The sequence below is a fragment of the Homo sapiens genome, chromosome 20, assembly GCF_000001405.40.
Source record: "Homo sapiens chromosome 20, GRCh38.p14 Primary Assembly".
Classification (NCBI taxonomy): Eukaryota; Metazoa; Chordata; class Mammalia; order Primates; family Hominidae; genus Homo; species Homo sapiens.
The window spans coordinates 16,524,945-16,543,345 of record NC_000020.11 but is presented as its reverse complement, the minus strand read 5'-3'; the positions used below and the strand labels follow the sequence as shown (position 1 = coordinate 16,543,345).

Below are 18,401 nucleotides of genomic sequence, written 5' to 3'. Positions count from 1 at the left end.
GCATAGTCTGTTCTGGATTTTTGTTCTGGAATTGGGGATAGGTGGGTTGGGCTCCATTCAGAAGAAGGGATGAAACCACCTTCTAGTGAAACAGCATCTCACAGGGACCTGAAACAGCATCTCACAATGTGAAAACTGTGAAAGCTTTCACATTCTTATAGAATCCCAGTTCCTCAGAGGACAACACAGATAAACTAGCGCAGTGGTCCCAAACCCAGTTGACCATCAGAACCTCCTAGGTGGTTAAAATACAGTGTCCTGGAGATTCTTACTTGGTAGGTCCGGGTTTGGGCTCCTCAGAGAGTAGTGTTTGTCAGCAGGCCTGGGGAACTTTCTGATCCACCCCAGTCATCTGGATGCATCTCCATTCCTGTACCCTGGCCCAGCATCCTTTGTGTAGCCTTCTGAGTGGTCTCCTTGCTAGACTGCCATCCCTCTAGAGTCTATGCACACCAACCAGAGGGGCCTTTTAAAAATATAAATACGACTTTGCCACTCCCCTGTACACAAAACCTGGTGGCTGTGGCTTCCTATTACATTTAAGTTTCGAAGTCTTAGCCATTTAGCCAAAGCCTGCAAGAACTGGCATGATTTGGCCTCCACCTCAAGGCTTTTCTGACCTCTTCTTCTACTTTGTTTCCGTTTCTCTCTTCTGCAGTCACAGTGACCTTCTTGCCCTTCCCCCAAAGTCTCTGGCTGGTTCTTGCCTCAGGGCCTTTACACCTGCTGTTTTTTTATCTGGGCCATTTGCCTGGCCCCGTTCAGGTGTTTGTTCATATCTCACCCCCTTAGAGAGGTCTTTTCTGGCTGCTTGCCTTCCTTTGCCTCTGCCTGTTAGTCCTTTTCCATGACATACCTTTATTTCTTTATAGCATTTACCACAATCTAAAATGATAGAGTATTATTTTGTTTTTCTTCTAAGCCTCTCTGTGAAATGCAGGCTGGGACTGTATTGTTTACCATTTTATTCCTGCACTGAGGCTATTATCTGGTATGTGAAAGCATTAATTCTCACTAAATATTTATGGAATGAATGAATGAATATATAAATCTCCCCATACAACATCCCAGATAAGGATTTCTCTAGCTTCTAACTAAACCTCTTCAGTAATGGTTCTGCACATCTTAAGGTAACTCATTTTGTACTGAGGCACTTCTGATTGTTAGGCTATTCTCCTTTCAGCTGAAAAAAATAAAGTATCTGCCTTCTGTCTAGCTCGGTAGCCCCAGCTCAGGCCTCTCTGCCTCTGCTGGGGAGTTGGTGTAGTGGTGAATGCTGCCACTTGGGTGTGGTGCATCCTATAAAGCATCATTTTAAAGGGGAGGTTGGTACAGTAGGCACCGTGCTTGCCACCCAGATCCTCTGTCTTTGAGGGCTTGTTGCTGCAGCATGGTTGGCCCAGCCTTCAGCTGCCAGCTCTTTCCACCGCAGCCCACAGTCCCTGATTGCTCAAAGCAGGGGTATAAAAGCCTGGCCATCTGTGCCCAACCTGTGGCAACTCTGAAGGGCCACGCTAGCCCCAGGACTGCCTGTGGAGTTGGCCAAGGCTGTCCATGGGTCGGTGCTGCAGCTCCACTTCTCCCTCTGCCTGGGCCTGCCTCAGTCTCCTTCTTTTCCCAGGAGTTGATCCCAAAGACATAACTTAATGAACACCCTGCTTGCTATACTCCCACAGATGTCTGCTTCTCTGGGATCCCAACCTGTAAACCGTAAGAGTTGGTGCTTTGCCTAATTTTTTAGGTTTATTACTGTTTCCCTAGGCCAGGGAAGACAATGAAAGGCTCAGCTTAATGGCCTCCTGTTGTGGCAGACAGAGGTCAAGTGAGGATTTCACTTAGCATGGGAGACTCATAAGGCTGTGATAGCATCGTTGTCCTTGGCTCATCCGTACTTCCGTACTGGCAGCCCATGGGGGACGGAGTGGAGGCTGTGCCAGTTTCTCACAAGCTGCCGCTCGAGGTTGGCATTTGGATGTAGGTCATGGTGCCACTGACCTCTAGCTGACTGCTGTGTGGTGAGCTGTGTTCTCAGAAGCCAAAATGAAGTCAGGGTGATTGCCTGAAAAACCCATTCCAGAATTTTTTACTATCTGTGTTCCCTGGGTGTTTCTCAAAAACTTGAGATGGAGGCTTTCATGATTTCATGGAGAACAGCGAGGAGTGGTTGGAGTCACAGGCTGTGCACAGATTTCTTTTTCTAATAGGAAAGGATAAGGAACAGCAGGAAGACATGGTTTCGGGGAGGAGACTAGCCCTCCCTGAGTTTGTCTTCAGGCCCTGAGACAGGTGAGGTGACACAAACTTATGGAGCTTCTGCCACTTTGCTGGGTACTGAGGGTGCAGGTGTTACTGAAGACTTGGGTTGCTTGCTTTCTGGGCTTGGGGTAGGGAGGCGAATACATCTGCATCTAACTGTGGAAGCCCTTGATGAGTGCAAACCATTGGGTAAGAAACAGTGTGTCAGACTTAGCAAGCAAAAATATTGCAATATTTGGGACACAGTCATAATATAAAATTAACTATTATGGGAAATTCAGTTTAATCGGGCTTCCTATATTTTATTTGGAACCTAATACAAGAGGAAAAGAGAAGTGCTCTTGGGTGGAACAGAGAAACTAATTCATGGAGCCAGGGTATTAGAATGCTTTGTGAGAAAGGGGTACTGGGACTAGTTTTGAATGTGGGTATCATTTTGCCTGGTGGAAATGCAGAGGGATGGCGACGGGGAGAGGCAGATCTAGGCAGTGCATGAGGATACTCAGTACCATGGGAAGGTGTGAAAGTGCAAGGGCACGAGGAGCTGTCTGTTTCATGGCCATGTCATCAGGAGAAGAGGGTCAGTAGCTTTTGCTTTCATGCCACGTAAGGATGTAGACTTGTTCTAGAGCATGAAGAGCCACCCAGAATTTCAAAGCAGGGACTTTTTGTCTTTTAATTAACTAAATTTATTTTAACTGTAGAAGGAATATCAAATCTTGCTAAAATGAATTCCAACAGTGAAATGTTTATTTTCTCATCCCCTGAAGCCCTGCTCCCACTCACTCTCCAGAGGTCACCACTGTGAATGGCTTGCTATTTATCCTTTCAGAAATGTTCAGAAATGTTTTGTGCATCTAGAATCATAGACGCGCATATTATTTTGGCTTTATTAATCTATTTATTGAGCTGCAAACTTGATTGTCATCTGCACACTGTTTTGCTGCTTGCTCTTCCACTTACAGGCTTCCTTGGACTTCTTTCCATATTAGTATACATGGAGCTCATGTATTATTTTTAAAAGTATAGTTTTTATTTTCATTTTTGCTATCAAGTGTCTTGCCACTAAAATGAAGGCAGTTAAATATTGGTTCATAGTATGTAACTTTTAAGGTGCACTTGGGATGCCGGTTTATTTCAGAACTCATGGTAAATAAGTCACTCTTTAGAATCTTCCAGGCTAATGTCTCAGTTTGGAGATCCCAACATCACCCAGTCTAGCTGTTTATTATGGATTGACCAGATGTCATCAGCTGAGGGAATGGAATCAATTTGAATTGCTGAATAACTTAAAAACATCTTCAAGATATTTGAATTAACATAGGTATGTTAGGCTGTTCTTCCATTGCAATAAAGAAATACCTGAGACTGGGTAATTTATAAGAAAAGAGGTTTAATTGGCTCATGGTTCTGCAGGCTGTACAGGAAGCATAGCAGCATCTGCTTCTGGGGAGGCCTCAGGAAGCTTTTACTCATGGTGGAAGGCAAAGCCGGAGCAGGCACATCACATGGAAAGAATGAGAGCAAGGGTCGGGGGAGGTGTCATACACTTTTGAACAGCCAGATCTCACGAGAAGTTACTCACTGCTTAGAAATTTTCTCTGCCAGATCCCTAGGTCATCACGCTCAAGTTTAAACTCCCACAGATCTCTAGGGCATGGACACAATGCAGCCAAGTTCTTTGCTAAGGCATAACAAGGATGACCTTTGCTTCAGTTCCTAGTAACTTCCTGATTTCCACCTGAGACCTCAGCAGCCTGGCTCTCACTGTTTGTATCACTATCAGCATTTTGGTCACAACTATTTAACCAGTCTCTAGGAAATTCCGAACTTTTCCTCATCTTCTGTCTTCTGAGCTCTCCAGACTCTTCCAACCTCTGCTTGTTACCCAGTTGCAAAGCTGTGTGCATCTTTTCAGGTATCTCTATAGCAATGCCCTACTGCTTGGTACCAATTTTTCGTGTTGGGCCATTCTTGGATTACTCTAAAGAAATACCTAAGATTGGGTAATTTATAAGACAAGAGGTTAAATTGGCTCATCATTTGCACTGATGGCTATACAGGAAGCATAGTGGCATCTGCTTCTCAGGAGGCCTCAGGAAGCTATTACTCATGGCTGAAGGTAAAGTGGGAGCAGGCACATCACATAGTGAGAATGGAGCAAGAGTGCGGCGAGCGGAGGTGTCATGTACTTTTAAACAGCCAGATCTCACAAGAACTCATTCAGGGCAAGGACAACACCAACAGGATGGTGCTGAACCATTCATGAGAAATCCACTCCTGTGATCCAATCACCTCCCACCAGGCCACACCACCAGCATTGGAGATTACAATTCATCATGAGATTTGTGTGGGGACAAATGTAGAAACTATGTCAATAGGATTTTTTTAAAAATAAATGTTCTTCTAACTCATGTATCTGAATGCTGACATAATTTATCTCTTTTCCTGGTAGAGTATTTTAAATCTTTTCCTTTCCTTTCGTCCTCCTCCCCCCATATTGATCTATAACTAAGTATATGTACTCCAGCTGGTTCATTTGTAGCATCTTATCATCTAGTTTCCAGACCTTTCAAATAAATTACTTATCTATATGAAGGACCCATAATTGGCTTTTCGGTTGAGAAATCCAATTCACCAAAGTGGCCAGGGAGAGGCATAGTTCATTTTTCCCTATTATCAAATTAATGTCAAATAATATCTTAGGATTATTTATTTTCTACAATATAAGAAGAATGTCAGGATTTATTTGCTGTGTTTCTTAAATGTCAGAGGAAATTGACCTGAGAGGCTGGGTAATCTCAGTGCCTGGCGTTGTAGTTTTCAGCTGAAGAATTACAAGACAAAGCACTCAGTGCTGATTGTGGGTGGTGCCCTTGTGCTTGGTGGACTCAGTGTGGATGTGAAGGAAGCTGGGCTTCTCTGAGGTTCTCTGGACTAATTGGAGAGATGACATCAGCAGGAATAAAGCTATGCAGGTGAGATGAACTAGGTAGGTGTATGAGGGGGTGTTGTTTCTAATGGTTTATCAGGAGGAGGTGAGTCAAACTGGACCCAAGACAAGCCTTACTTGAAAATGTGGGTAGGGCTGGGCATGGTGGCTCATGCCTGTAACCCTAACACTTTGGGAGGCCAAGGTGTGTGGATTACTTGAGGCCAGGAGTTCGAGACCAGCCTGGCCAACATGGAGAAACCCCGTCTCTACTAAAAATACAAAAATTAGCTAGGCATCGTGGTGCACATCTGTAATCCCAGCTACTCAGGAAGCTGAGGCACGAGAATTGCTTGAGCCCAGGAGACAGAGGTTGCAGTGAGCCAAGATTGTGTCACTGCACTTTAGCCCAGTGACGGAGCCAGACCCTGTCTCAAAAAAAAAAAAAAAAAACGAAAAAAAGAAAAAAAGAAAAAGAACATGTGGGTGGGAAGTGGGAAGATACTTTAGTATGTGGGAAGGCAAGAACCAGGAATGTAGGGGGCACATAGGGAGACCCACGTGGGAAGAGGATGAGTGTGGTAAAGAGTACACTGGGGTAAGAGCCATTTGTTTAATATTTCAGGAAGTTCATCACATTTAACAGCCATTTTAGGAGCACCACAAAGTTGCAGGCAATGTGCCAGAGGCTGGGGAGGGCTATAAACCCAGACAGGCAGAGTCCTTGCTCTTAAAAAGTTAAGAGTCTGGTGGATGAGACAAGCAGGAGTGCCATCTAACTAGGGGATAGGATAGAGGGCTTGGTGAAGGCCCTACAGAGGATGTGAAGTCTGAGCTGAATTTAGAGGAATGGTTGGGAGTTGACCGTGGGAAGAGGATGGGGCAGGATATAGTGCTGGAATAGAAATGTCAACTAGGGTCAGATCATGAAGGACTTTGTATAGTAGCACTGAGAGTTGGACTTTATCCTGTAGCCTTTGGGAAGTCACTGAAGGAGTTTAAAGCAGGGGAGCCTCGTGGTGAGATGTGTTTTATGGAAGGCTCTCTCTGGCAGCAGACGATGGAGTGTGTGTGAGAGAGGATGAGGCTGGAGGCAAAGAGACTAGAGGTGGGGGTAGCCTGACCTGGGACAGGGCCTACAAAGTGGGGAGATCTGGTCTAGTTCAACAGGTGGTAGATTGGAAGGGACTAGGTAACTGAATGTTGGGTAGGGGGGTTGGGGGTAAGGTTGTTTGATGGAGTGTCACATGGACTCTGAAGTCACCTATGACAGTTAAAGCCCCTAGGGGTGAAGAGAAGGCCAAGAGCAGAAGCCAGAGTCTGCAGTGGATGAAGGAGGCTGAGTAGGGTTGGTCCACAGGGTGTGGATGGGAAGGAAGTACTGGAGTCTGCCTTCCTCCTTTCTTTCATCTTTGAAATATTTGGAAGTTTGACAGTTCTCCAGGAATCTGCAAAGGAAGACATGTAACAAAGAATTAGTTGCAACACTTAATAGCTCCAACCATCATAGATATCACGCTGGTTTTGGTTTTACTTCTCCTAAACATTTTTTTGACAAACTTTATATTTGTGTACATATTTATGGGGTATGTGTATTAGAATATGTAATAAAGTATTTGGGATATCCATCACTGGAGTATCATTTCTATGTGTTGGGTACATTTCAAGTCCTCTTTTCTAGCTATTCTGAAAACCACAATACATTGTTGTTAACTGTAGTCAGCTTGCTTTGCTTACAAGCATTAGAACTTATTTCTATCTAACTTTATGTTTGTACCCATTAACCTACTTCTCTTCACTCCCCCCACCCCCGTACACCCATTCCAGCCTCTGATATCTATCATTCTACTCTCTATCTCCATATGATCCATTTTTTAATCTCCCACATATGAGTGAGAGCTTGTGATACTTACCTTTCTGTGCCTGGCTTATTTTACTAAACATAATGACCCCTAGTTCTGTCCACGTTGCTGCAAATGACATAACTTCATTGTTTTTTATGGCTCAGTAGTATTCCATAGTGTGTGTATATACTACATTTTCTTGATCCGTTCATTCATTGTTGGACACTTACGTTGATAATATCTTTGCTATTGTGAATAGTGCTTCAATAAACATGGGAGTGCAGGTTTCCCTTTGATATATTGATTTCTTTTCCTTTGGATAAATACCCAGTAGTCAGATTTCTGGATTGTATGGTGGTTCTATTTTTAATTTTTAAAGAAATCTCCATTCTGTTTTCCATAGCACTAATTTAGATTCCCACCAACAGTGTATAAGAGTTCTCTTTTCTTAGCATGCTTGCCAGCATCTGTTATTTCTTGTCTTTTTAATAACAGCCATTCTAACTGGGGTAAAATGATATCTCTTTGTGGTTTTGATTTGCATTTCCCTGATAATTAGTGATACTGAGCATTTTTTTCATATATCTGTTGGTCATTTCTGTGTCTGCTTTTGAGAAATGTCTCTTCATGTCCTTTGCCCATTTTTAATAGGATTAGTTATTGAAATAATAAAGACTATATATGACAAACCCACTGCTAACATTGTAGCGAATGGGGAAAAGGTGAATTTTTTTTCTCTTAGAACTGGAAGAAGACAAGGATACCCACTTTTACCACTCATATTGAAGATAATACTGTAAGCCCTAGTCAGAGCAATGAGGCAAGAGAAAGAAATACAAGGCGTCCAGATTGGAAAAGAGGAAGTCAAATTGTCCTTCTTTGCAGATGACATGATCTTATATTTAGAAAAACCAAAGACTTCACCTAAAAACTCTTAGAACTGATGAATGAATTTAATAAAGTTGCAGGATAAATCAACATACAAAAGTCAATAGCATTTGTATATACCAATAATGAAATAGCTGAGAAAGAAATGAAGAAGGCAATCCTATTTACTGTAGCTATCAAAGAAAAATACTTGGGAATAAATTTAACCAAGAAGGTGAAAGATCTCTTCAAGGAAAACTGCAAAATACTGATGAAAGAAATTGAGGAGGACACAAACAGGTGGAAAGACATCTCATGCTCATGGATCAGAAGAATTAATATTGTTAAAATGACCATACTGCTCAAAGCAATCTACAATTTCAGTGCAATCCCTATCAAAATACCAACATTGTTTTTCAGAGAAATAAAAAAAAAATTCTAAAATTTGTATGGAACCAAAAAAGAGCCTAAATAGCCACAGCAACCCTAAGCAAAAACAAAGCTGAAGGCATCATACTACCTGACTTCAAAATACATTAAAAGTCTGTAGTAACCAAAACAGCATGGTATTGGTATTATATAAAAATAGACACATGGACCAATGGAGCAGAACAGAGAACCCAGAAATAAATCCACATATTTTCAACTGATCTTTGACAAAGCCACCAAGAACGTACATTGGGGCTCTCTTCATGATGCTGGGAAAACTGGATAAGAATATGCAGAGGAAAGAAACATGACCTCCATCTCTCACTGTATACAAAAGTCAACTCCAGATGGATTGAACACTTTAATGTAAGACCTGAAATTACAAAACTACTAGAAGAGAACATAGGGAAAGCTCTTCAGGACATTGTTCTGGACAAAGACTTTATGGATGAGACTTCAGAAGCACAGACAACAAAACCAAAAACAGACAGAAGGGGCTATGTTAAACTGAAAAACATTTACACAGCAAAAGAAACAGTGAAGAGACAACCTGTTGAATAGGAGAACATTTTTGTAAGCTACTCATTTGATAGGGGACTCATATCCAGAATATACAAGGAACTCAACAGTAAAAAATATATTGGCTTTTCTATAAGTGTTTTCAGGAACTAGGAAGAGATTTGCTCTTTATGGCTGAAATTCTAGCCAGTATCTGTGTTATAAATACTAAGAGTAATTTTAGATTAATTTTTTTTTTTTATTTGAGACAGAGCTTTGCTCTTTCACCTAGGCTGGAGTGAAGTGGCGCGATCTCAGCTCACTGCAACCTCTGTCCCCCGGGCTCAAGTGATTCTCCTGCCTCAGCCTCCCGAGTAGGAATTATAGGAGCCTGCCACCATGCTCGGCTAATTTTTGTATTTTTAGTAGAGATGGGGTTTCGCCATGTTGGCCAGGTTGGTCTTGAACTCCTGACCTGTGATCCACCCACCTCAGCCTCCCAAAGTGCTGGGATTACAGGCGGGAGCCATTGTGCCCAGCCACATCTTTATTTTTTATTTTTTATTTTTTTTTAAACTGTTTCAGTTTGTATGCTTAAAGAAGGAAGCAAGTTAGGAAATTATTTGTGAAATTTCTTTTCTGAAATAGATGGCCTCGATCTTAATGTTGATGACCTGTAATTATCTTTTGATATGATTTTAAATTATTGGCTGTAGCCTTAGATTGACATTGAGAAACACAGTCTGGGAAGAGAAAGGGCTGGAAACTCACTCATGGTTTGGCAGGGTGAGAATGAGGGAACCTGAGTGTCATGACATTCACATGACATCTCTCATCAGATTATGTCAGCAGTTATTGCTCTTGGTCAGAAGCCACTTACAACTTAAGAGCATAGAATGGAGACAGTATTAGCTGACTTATGGTATATCCATTCATATTCTGTCATGTGATTTTAAAAATAAAATTTAAAAGTCAAAGAACAAAGGTTAGTGAGTTTTCCAGTGTAAGAAGTAGTTTATTTCATAAGGGTAAACCTAAGACCCATCTATTACTATGTCATATTAAGTACAGCATCAGAGCAGTGCTTTTTAAATTTTAACGTTCATCAGAATCATTTACAGTTGTTAAAATGCAGGTTCCTATTCTGTAGGTTTTAGGTGGGGACTGAGAACCTTCATTTCTGTCAAGCTTCCCTGGAGCCACTGATGTTGCTGGTCTCTGGAGCATATTTTGAGTATTAAGAGTCAGAGCAGGGATTCCTATCTTTTGGGGTGATGGAACTCTTTGAGAAACTGAGGAATGTGGTAGACCCTCAGAATAGTGAAACTGCCTCCTGCTCCTGATCCCCCTTCCCAGCCAGTCATCCCAGTACATAGGATTTCAGGGAGGTGGTGAAACCTTCAAAACCTACCTGCATCTTCAGTTTTCATTTTAGAAGTAGCTAATAAAAAGACAGTCATATTGCATAACAGCCTTTCAGTCAGTATCTCACTTAGTGCTTTTATAGAATGGATGTTAATTTAGAACTAGGAACGCACTGCCCTGGTTACCTGCAGGTTAGAATACATGATCATGTGGAGGGCCCTTTAAATTTAGCTGCTCCAAAGGTGTAAGGTTCTGAGATGGGGAGTTATGGAGTCTCTGGCTTCCAGCAGGAGTGGTGGGCATTGTATGAGCCACATTACTTTGTTTTCTAGGCAAGAATTGACAAGTCAATGTGAGCATTACCACGATCACTTCTAATATTTCTATGTAGCTGGATAATTTTGTGTTCCTGAGAGGTATTTGTTGATAATAGTGGTTTTAAGATGAAAGCTCTAGATGCATTAGGTTAGTGATTGATTGAGAAAAAAGGACCCACTGTGGGAATGGGAGGAATCTGGGTTTGGTGTTCTGTGATATAAATAAACCCAGGTGGTTTGTTCTCTTGTTGAGCAGGACATGCTTTGGTAATTGAATGCTGTAGGAAAGGTTTAATTTTATGAAGTATTTGTTTTGTAGCCACATGAACATGGGGTGTCCCTGAAGCAGTTCTTACTTTTGGGTCCACAATGGAATTGCCCAACTCCTGGTGGGTTGGAGTGGAAGCATTTTTCAGGCTTGGAAATGTTAAACTTGGCCCTGGGAATCTGCTGTAGTTCCCAAATGGTGTTTACTGCAAATGCTTTTTGGGTTTGTTCACAACTGATATTTATTTTGTCTCTGTTCGTCTGAGCTGGCCAAGATGTTACCCCTTAGCTGGTTTCCCCATACCTGGATTATTTTAAAGTAAATCCCAGGTAACATATCATTTGATTTGTAAATATTTCAATATGTATCTCTAAAAGGTTTTTTAAGTCATAATACTATTATCATACCTACAATATTAGCAATAATTCCTTAATATCATCAAATATCTAGTCAGTGTTAACATTTCCCTACGTAAGTTATAATTTTTTTTTTTTTTTTTTTGAGACGGAGTTTTGCTCTTGTCGTCCAGTCTGGAGTGCAATGGCACAATCTCGGCTTACTGTAACCTCCGCCTCCTGGATTCAACCGATTCTCTTGCCTCAGCCTCCCAAGTAACTGGGATTACAGGTGCCCGCCACCACACCCGGCTATTTTTTGTCTTTTTAGTAGAGGCGGGGTTTTGCCATGTTGGCCAGGCTGGTCTCGAACCCTGACTTCAGATGATCCACTTGCCTCGGCCTCCCAAATGGTTATAATTTTCAAAGTGCTTTTTCTGTTTGAATTGGGATCCAGTTGGTTGATATGTCTTTAATGTCTTTTCTAGCTTTAGATTTCCCTTTCATCGTTATATTCTTTGCAATTTGTCATAATTTGGAATATGCTGAGTCATTTACCCTGCTGCCTTTCCCACAGGCTGGATTTTACCGATTCCCCCACCTGAGAACATTGGCGTGTTCCCACTTACACTTGTCATTCCTGCTGGTTCCCTATAGGGCAGCTCTAGGTCAGAGTCAGGCCATCCCTGGGAGGGAAGGACAGGAACCCTGGGGCAGTCGCGTTGGTACTTCAGGTAGAATACACCTCGTACCTGGTTTTCTCACAGTGGCTGGCCTGGTAACCATCGGTGGTCCCTCCCTAGAGCCATTAATTCACCAGGGGTGACGAAATGATATTTTGTTATTACTTCTTTATTTTTTTAGCTGGAATATCTCTAAAGGAGAAACTTTCTTTCACAGTTGTTTGGTTACTTGAAGTATAGATAGTTTTGGAAATGCAAGATAAATGCTTGATTCTTTCTTTTAACAGTTTTCAAAATAATGAGACAGATCCTTTGATCTTTCAGAGGGGACCACTGAGTTTTTATTTTTAAGTTATGAGTTTATGTGCTTAAATATATTCTATCTATTTCAGTTGGTTTTTAGTTTCTTTGCTGTCCAGATTTCTCAACTTTGGGCAGCAGGAACTTATGCAGGTTGGTTCCTGAGTCCTTTTGACAGGGTCCTTGTATTAGTTTTCTTTTAGTGTATAACAAATTACCCCAAAACTTAGGGGCTTAAAACAATATGTATTGACCAGGCATGGTGGCTCGTGTGTGTAATCCCAGCAATTTGGGAGGTCGAGGCGGGTGGATTGCTTGAGCTCAGGAGTTTGAGACCAGCCTGAGCAACACAGCAAAACTCCATCTCTACAAAAAATACAAAAATAGGCAGGTGCAGTGGTGCGTGCCTGTAGTCAAAGCTACTTGGGAGGCTATGGCAGGATAATCGCTTGAGCCTAGGAGGTGGAGGTTGCAGTGAGCTGAGATCATGCCATTGCACTCCAGCCTGGGTGGCAGGAGCGAAACCCTGTCTCAAAAAAAACCAAACAACAACAACAAAACACAGCATGTATTATCTCAGAGTTTCTGTGGGTCAGGAATCTGGGTGGGGTTGAGCAGGGTCCTCTGACTCCGGCTCTCCCCTAGCGCTGCAGTCAGGGTGCCAGACGGCTTCCCAGTCATCTCTCATCATCATGTCCCGGTGCGGGCTTGGGGAGCGTGCCCTGCCAGGCTGTCTGGCGTGCTGCTAGCGGGCCCCTGTTTCCTGCTGGCTGGGTCTGTCCACAGGGGTCCTCACTCTGTCGTCCCTGACTTTTCACACTGCCAGGGCTCAAACAGAGAGGGCAGAAGAGAGAGCCAGCAAGACAGAAGTCACAGTCTTGAAAGCCCGCCTGGGAAGTGACAGACCATCACTTGGGTGTGTTTGTGTTGTAGTCATTAGAAGTGACTCACCAGGTCCAGCCCATAGTCAAGGGCAAGGATCGCACACGACAGGGTGTGAGTGCCGGGCAATCACTGGGAGCCGTGTTAGAAGGTGCCCGCCACAGCCCTAGTGACCTGTGTTAGTGTTCCTGCTTTATAGTGTGAAGAGATGGTTCAGTATTTGGATTGAATCACTTCTCCAAGGAACCCTGACTTATTTTAGTGGAAAATGTTATTTATAGGCTATAATTTGAGTGTAAGATTCTAGGCCTTTTCAATGGACAAAGCAAGGGAGTTGTTTGTTTTTTAAATTTTGGATGAAAGATGAAGTTTCTGCTACTCCTTCCAATTAGATTCAGGACTACAGTTTTTTCTGGGACAGAATTTCACTCTTGTTGCCCAGGTTGGAGTGAGTGCAGTGGCGTGATCTTGGCTCACTGCAACCTCTGCCTCTTGGATTCAAGTGATTCTCCTGCCTCAGCCTCCCGAGTAGCTGGGATTACAGGCATGCGCCACCATGGCCGGCTAATTTTCTATTTTTAGTAGAGATGGGGTTTCTCCGTGTTGATCAGGCTGGTCTTGAACTCCCGACCTCAGGTGATCTGCCCGCCTCTGCCTCCTGAAGTGCAGGGATTACAGGCGTGAGCCACCGTGCTCGGCCAGGACTACAGTTTTTACTTAACCTCATCAAACTTATGTTTGTATCTCATTCAGCCACTTCAAAAACCTTGGTTCTCTAGGGCACCAACATCATTACTCTTGTAATGTCCCACAGTACACAGACAGAAATCTCAGAATAATGGCACTTACATTACCACCAAAAATATGATTACTAAAAATGCTTTAAGATTTCTTTGTAGTTCTTTTTCTTTTTAGGATATATCTCATTATAGTATACAGTCAAATTCCTCTATAGAGTCGTAATTGAAATAGTTTCTCACTTTGTGGTACACAGCTAGATTCATTCGCTTCAACTTACTTCTAAATTATAGCTTGTTTTTTGAAACTCTTGTTTTATTTTTGCATAAATCATTTTTATCGTTCTAAAGATGACCTCCAGATCAAAGTATATTTGCAGAAATCTAGCTTCTATCCTTGTCCACTTCCCTTGTCTGCCCCAAATCCTTATCCTCAATTTCCCTTTTTTTCCTAGGTAGCCTTTTGAAAAATACATAGGTTTTAAAAAAGTGTTTAAATATAATTTGTATTTTTCTACATAGATTTTCTCCATCTTTTGTCTCCACTGAACAGTATATCCCAGTATATCCCAGTGGCCACGCCATAACAGATATAGGGATCTTCCTCATTCCTTGTTCAGTGGCGTCACACTCCATTGGGTAAATGTATGGTCATTTATTCTAGGGAACTGTACTCTTTAGGAGTCCTCCTGTTCTGCTGTTTTCTGAGAAATGCAGTTTCTGAACAGATGTAGAAAGAAGGTAGGAGGAGGGAACAGTGCCCTGGCTGCTTCTGGAAGCAGCACCTGCTTGTAACCACTCCAGTTTTCTCTTTGGTTTTCATCTTGGGTAGGGGGCTAAGGTCTCTTTCTCTTTGTAACAAGGTGAGGGGGGCTACTTTTTTTTGGTGAGTCTTAGCTCTTTGTGGTGTCTGTTATTTCATTTACTCTTCTTTTGGCTTACAATTGGAAATTCTTTCAGGGTTTAACAACACACTGTGTATCAGCCATAATTGTTGATGGTGGCATCATTTTGCGTATCTTCATGTTATATTAGTAAGGATTTGGGAGGAGCCGTGTCTGGGATTGCTCCTCAGATGCCATTTGAAAATAAACTCCTAACGTAAAAAGTAAATAAAACAAATGGGTTTAGTTTTGTTTTGTTTTTAATAATCTTTTCTCTTCTAACCACTACTGAATTATTTGTATTGCAGGGAAAAGGACTTGGAGGCCAAGTTCATTATTCAGATGGAGAAAAGCAAAACGACAATCACAAACTTAAAGGCAAGTCATGACCTGGCCTTGCTTAAGTTCCAAGAGCCCCATGATTGCTTTACTGTGGGGATGACTAATGAGTAAATAAAGCCTGTCTGCTGTTTCCACACCCTCCTTTCCAGTGCAGTTAGCCACGTCAGCTTGCACCTGGCTTGGGCTCAGTCTTGAAGCAGAAGAGTTGATCCCGTTTCCTTTCCCATTCCTGGCTTTATTTGATCTGGAAGCCAAATCCAAGCTGTTGCTCTGGTCCAGGAGCTCCTGAGTCTATCCCAGATTCGGGCATTTTCATCCTGTGTCCTCGTAGTAGGGACTTAGCCTGGCAATTGACTGTGTTCTGTGAACATTAAATAAGCTTTGCCCCTATATTTTTTTCCATTTTTAATGAAGAGGATCATGTTTGGTAATCCTTGAAGAAGAACTGATACTATTATTCAAAACTCAGGGAGGAAAGATTAAAAAAAACCACCAAATTTCTTTTCTGGAAAAAAAGTTAAAAAAAATTTTCAAGATGGCAAGTTTCTCCTTTGGCACTGAAAAATATCCTGTTTGTTTATTTGGTTAGGAAATTTTTAAAGGGCACTGAATGCTTTTCGCTGAGGAGGGTAACGGGGGTATAAAATTAATATTGAAGAAATCAGAGCTGGGCTTGGTGGTGCACACCTGTGGTCCTAGCTACTCGAGAGGCTGAGATGGGAGGATCACTTGAGCCCAGGAGATCAAGGCTACAGTGAGCCCTGTTTGTGCCACTGCACTCCAGCCTGGGCAACAGAGCAAGACCCCATCTCAAACAAACAAACAAAAAAACAACAACAAAAAAGAAAGAAATGAAGTACTTTATGGGTTCAATGCCTTTCTCCTTTGATATTTGTCATTAACTTTTAGGTCTGGGTTTCTGAGACATGATGCTCCATGGCCAAGTCAGATCTATCTCCTGTTCACATCTGTGGAGATTTCTATTAATTTATGGCTCAAAGGATTGGGTACTTTGAGATCCAATTTCAAAGTAGTGCGAGTTGATCTCCAATGGTAGAAGCTGGGAAATGCTCCCATCTTCCAACTGGGCAGCCTCTGGATCATTTCATTTCCTCCATTAAGGCGCTGGTGTCCTTTGCCTGAGGCATTCTCCACTGGATGCCTTTCTTCCTCTGCTTAGCACAACCCTTGTGCCTTCCAGCTCTATCTGGCCTGCACTGTGCTTCTTTCCCTTCCTTTGGCCTCTCGCATATTCTCATGTTTCTACCCAGTTGTCACTTGTCCATTCCCTGCTGGTAATTACCTTGTCTTTCCTTCATGTGTCTTTCTACGCTCACAGTGCTTTGGTAAAAGACCGCTGACTCTGGATGAGTCTCCTTTCTTTGTGCGTTATGGAATCTATTTTCCTCGATTACTCTGTTGCTTTTTGAGTTTTTTAAACATTTTATCATCTGATGTTTGAGTAACCAGAACAGATGCCTAGACTTTTAGTGTTTTCATAAGAATCATAACAATTTTTTTATAATATGTGAATCATGTGGAAAACGTGGTGCTCATTGAAGTTATTCAGCATATGTCCAATAAGCAGGCTTTGGGAGCATATGAAGATGTTAAAACATGGTTCTGAGGTGCACTTTAAGCATATAGCAAGGGGGACAAGATATATGCAAACATCCGCAATAAACTCACAATATGATGTGTCCTGGAAGAGTCTAGGCTGTCAGAGGTAGGAGAAATTACTTCTCCATGGAGTGTCCAAGGGAAGTGTCATGAAAGAGGAGACATCTGACCTAGAATTTTCAGTGAGGCCACCAAATCATACAGCTTTAGAAGGTGCCAATCTTATCATGATCTATGTGAATACCACCCTTGTAGTTGTGCAAAGCCCAACTCTGGTGGATTTAGGTGGAGGGAACAGTAAAAAATCACTGAAGGTGGAAATACAGAGTCTGGCTGGAGTGTTGGGTTCTTAGGAGTTAATAGTGATAAAAAGAAAAGGTCAGAATAGTATTCTTGGGTCATATCACAGAGAACTTGGATTGCTGCAAGGAGTTTAGTTTATATTTAAATTTTATTTATTTATTTTTTTAGAGAAGCCAGCAGGAATGAAATGGTTTTTAGTCAGGGTATAAACATGGAAATTTGGGTCAAATGGCAGTGCTCTTTACATTATCATTATTATTCTAATCATTTCTTTCTAGATACCAGAAGGAGGCACTGGGGACTCAGGAAGAGAACGGACCAAGACCTTCACCTATGACTTTTCTTTTTATTCTGCTGATACAAAAAGCCCAGATTACGTTTCACAAGAAATGGTATATGATATTTTCAAAATATTTATGTTGATTTATTTTCACATTGAGAAAAACATGCCTACCCTAAAATACTTTAAAATATCTTGCCAATTTCTTTCTGAATGTAATTTTTGTATAAAATTAGCCTTTGCTAACTTACCTTTCTGAGTGTTATGTAGGAGTATCTATTTAAGCCTGAGAAGAATTCAGTTCTCAAAAGATTGATTTTTTTTTCACCTTTGAGCATAATGATGATAATTTTTAATTTGTTTCAAAACTTGGATATGGTTCCTGTTTAGAAGGAGCTCTACATAGAAAGCATTTCTGGGGAGACATGTGTATGCTGCGAAGCACAGTAAAGAAGCCACTTAACCTTGAGTCCTATTCAGTGCGGAGATTTAGGAGGAAACTTCAAACCCAAGTCATGTGTTCCCAGGTTGTGTGGATCATTACAGGTTTTAGAGTGGATTCTAGAAAGAAAGAACGTTCATTCAGAATCTTTCTAGAGTCTAGAATGATGCTGGAATTTGTCCAAGAAATCTTGCCTGTAGGCTTTTAAGGGCTAAAATGTAGATGTGAAGTGGACAGATAATAACAGACACAAAGGTGCCCCCAAAAGCCTATCAAGACACTGATGTTGACATTTCAGGTGAGCAGAGGGACAAGTATATTTCTCGGGGTGGGGAAAAGCTGCTTATTTGAGCAGAGTGAGGTTAGAAATGGGGAGCACCAGTATAGAAGGAAAAACGCAGGCTTCATTGCTGGGCCTCTTCCTGGCTCGTTGACAGCTTCTTTAGATAACATTGCTTTAAGTCTCCATATGTTAAAACGGGGATAAGAATTCCTGTCCTGCCTGGCCTGGGTTGTAATCCATGCAATGGCATCTCGAAAAGTAGGGTATGAAAAAGTGCTTGTTTCTTTCTTTCTTTCTTTTTTAAATTATGCTTTAATTCTGGGATACATGTGCAGAATGTGCAGATTTGTTACATAGGTATACACGTGCCATGGCGGTTTGCTGCACCCATCAACCCGACATCTACATTAGGTATTTCTCCTAATGCTATCCCTCCCGTAGCTCCCTACCCCCTGACAGGCTTTGGTATGTGATGTTCCCCTCCCTGTGTCCATTTGTTCTCATTGTTCAGCTCCCATTTATGAGTGAGAACAT

At 41.9% G+C, this 18,401-nt stretch overlaps 1 protein-coding gene across 17 annotated transcripts in view; it reads left to right on the top strand.

Moving 5' to 3' along the window:
* The window catches only part of KIF16B (kinesin family member 16B), a 301,345-nt gene that overhangs the window by 30,103 nt on the left and 252,841 nt on the right, over positions 1 to 18,401 (top strand). For all 17 annotated transcript variants that reach the window (XM_047440266.1, XM_047440264.1, NM_001199865.2 and 14 more), the window contains exons 2-3: positions 14,906 to 14,975; positions 17,141 to 17,254. In XM_047440266.1, coding sequence (XP_047296222.1) covers positions 14,906 to 14,975; positions 17,141 to 17,254 — 184 coding nt within the window. The remainder of the gene's footprint in view (positions 1 to 14,905; positions 14,976 to 17,140; positions 17,255 to 18,401) is intronic.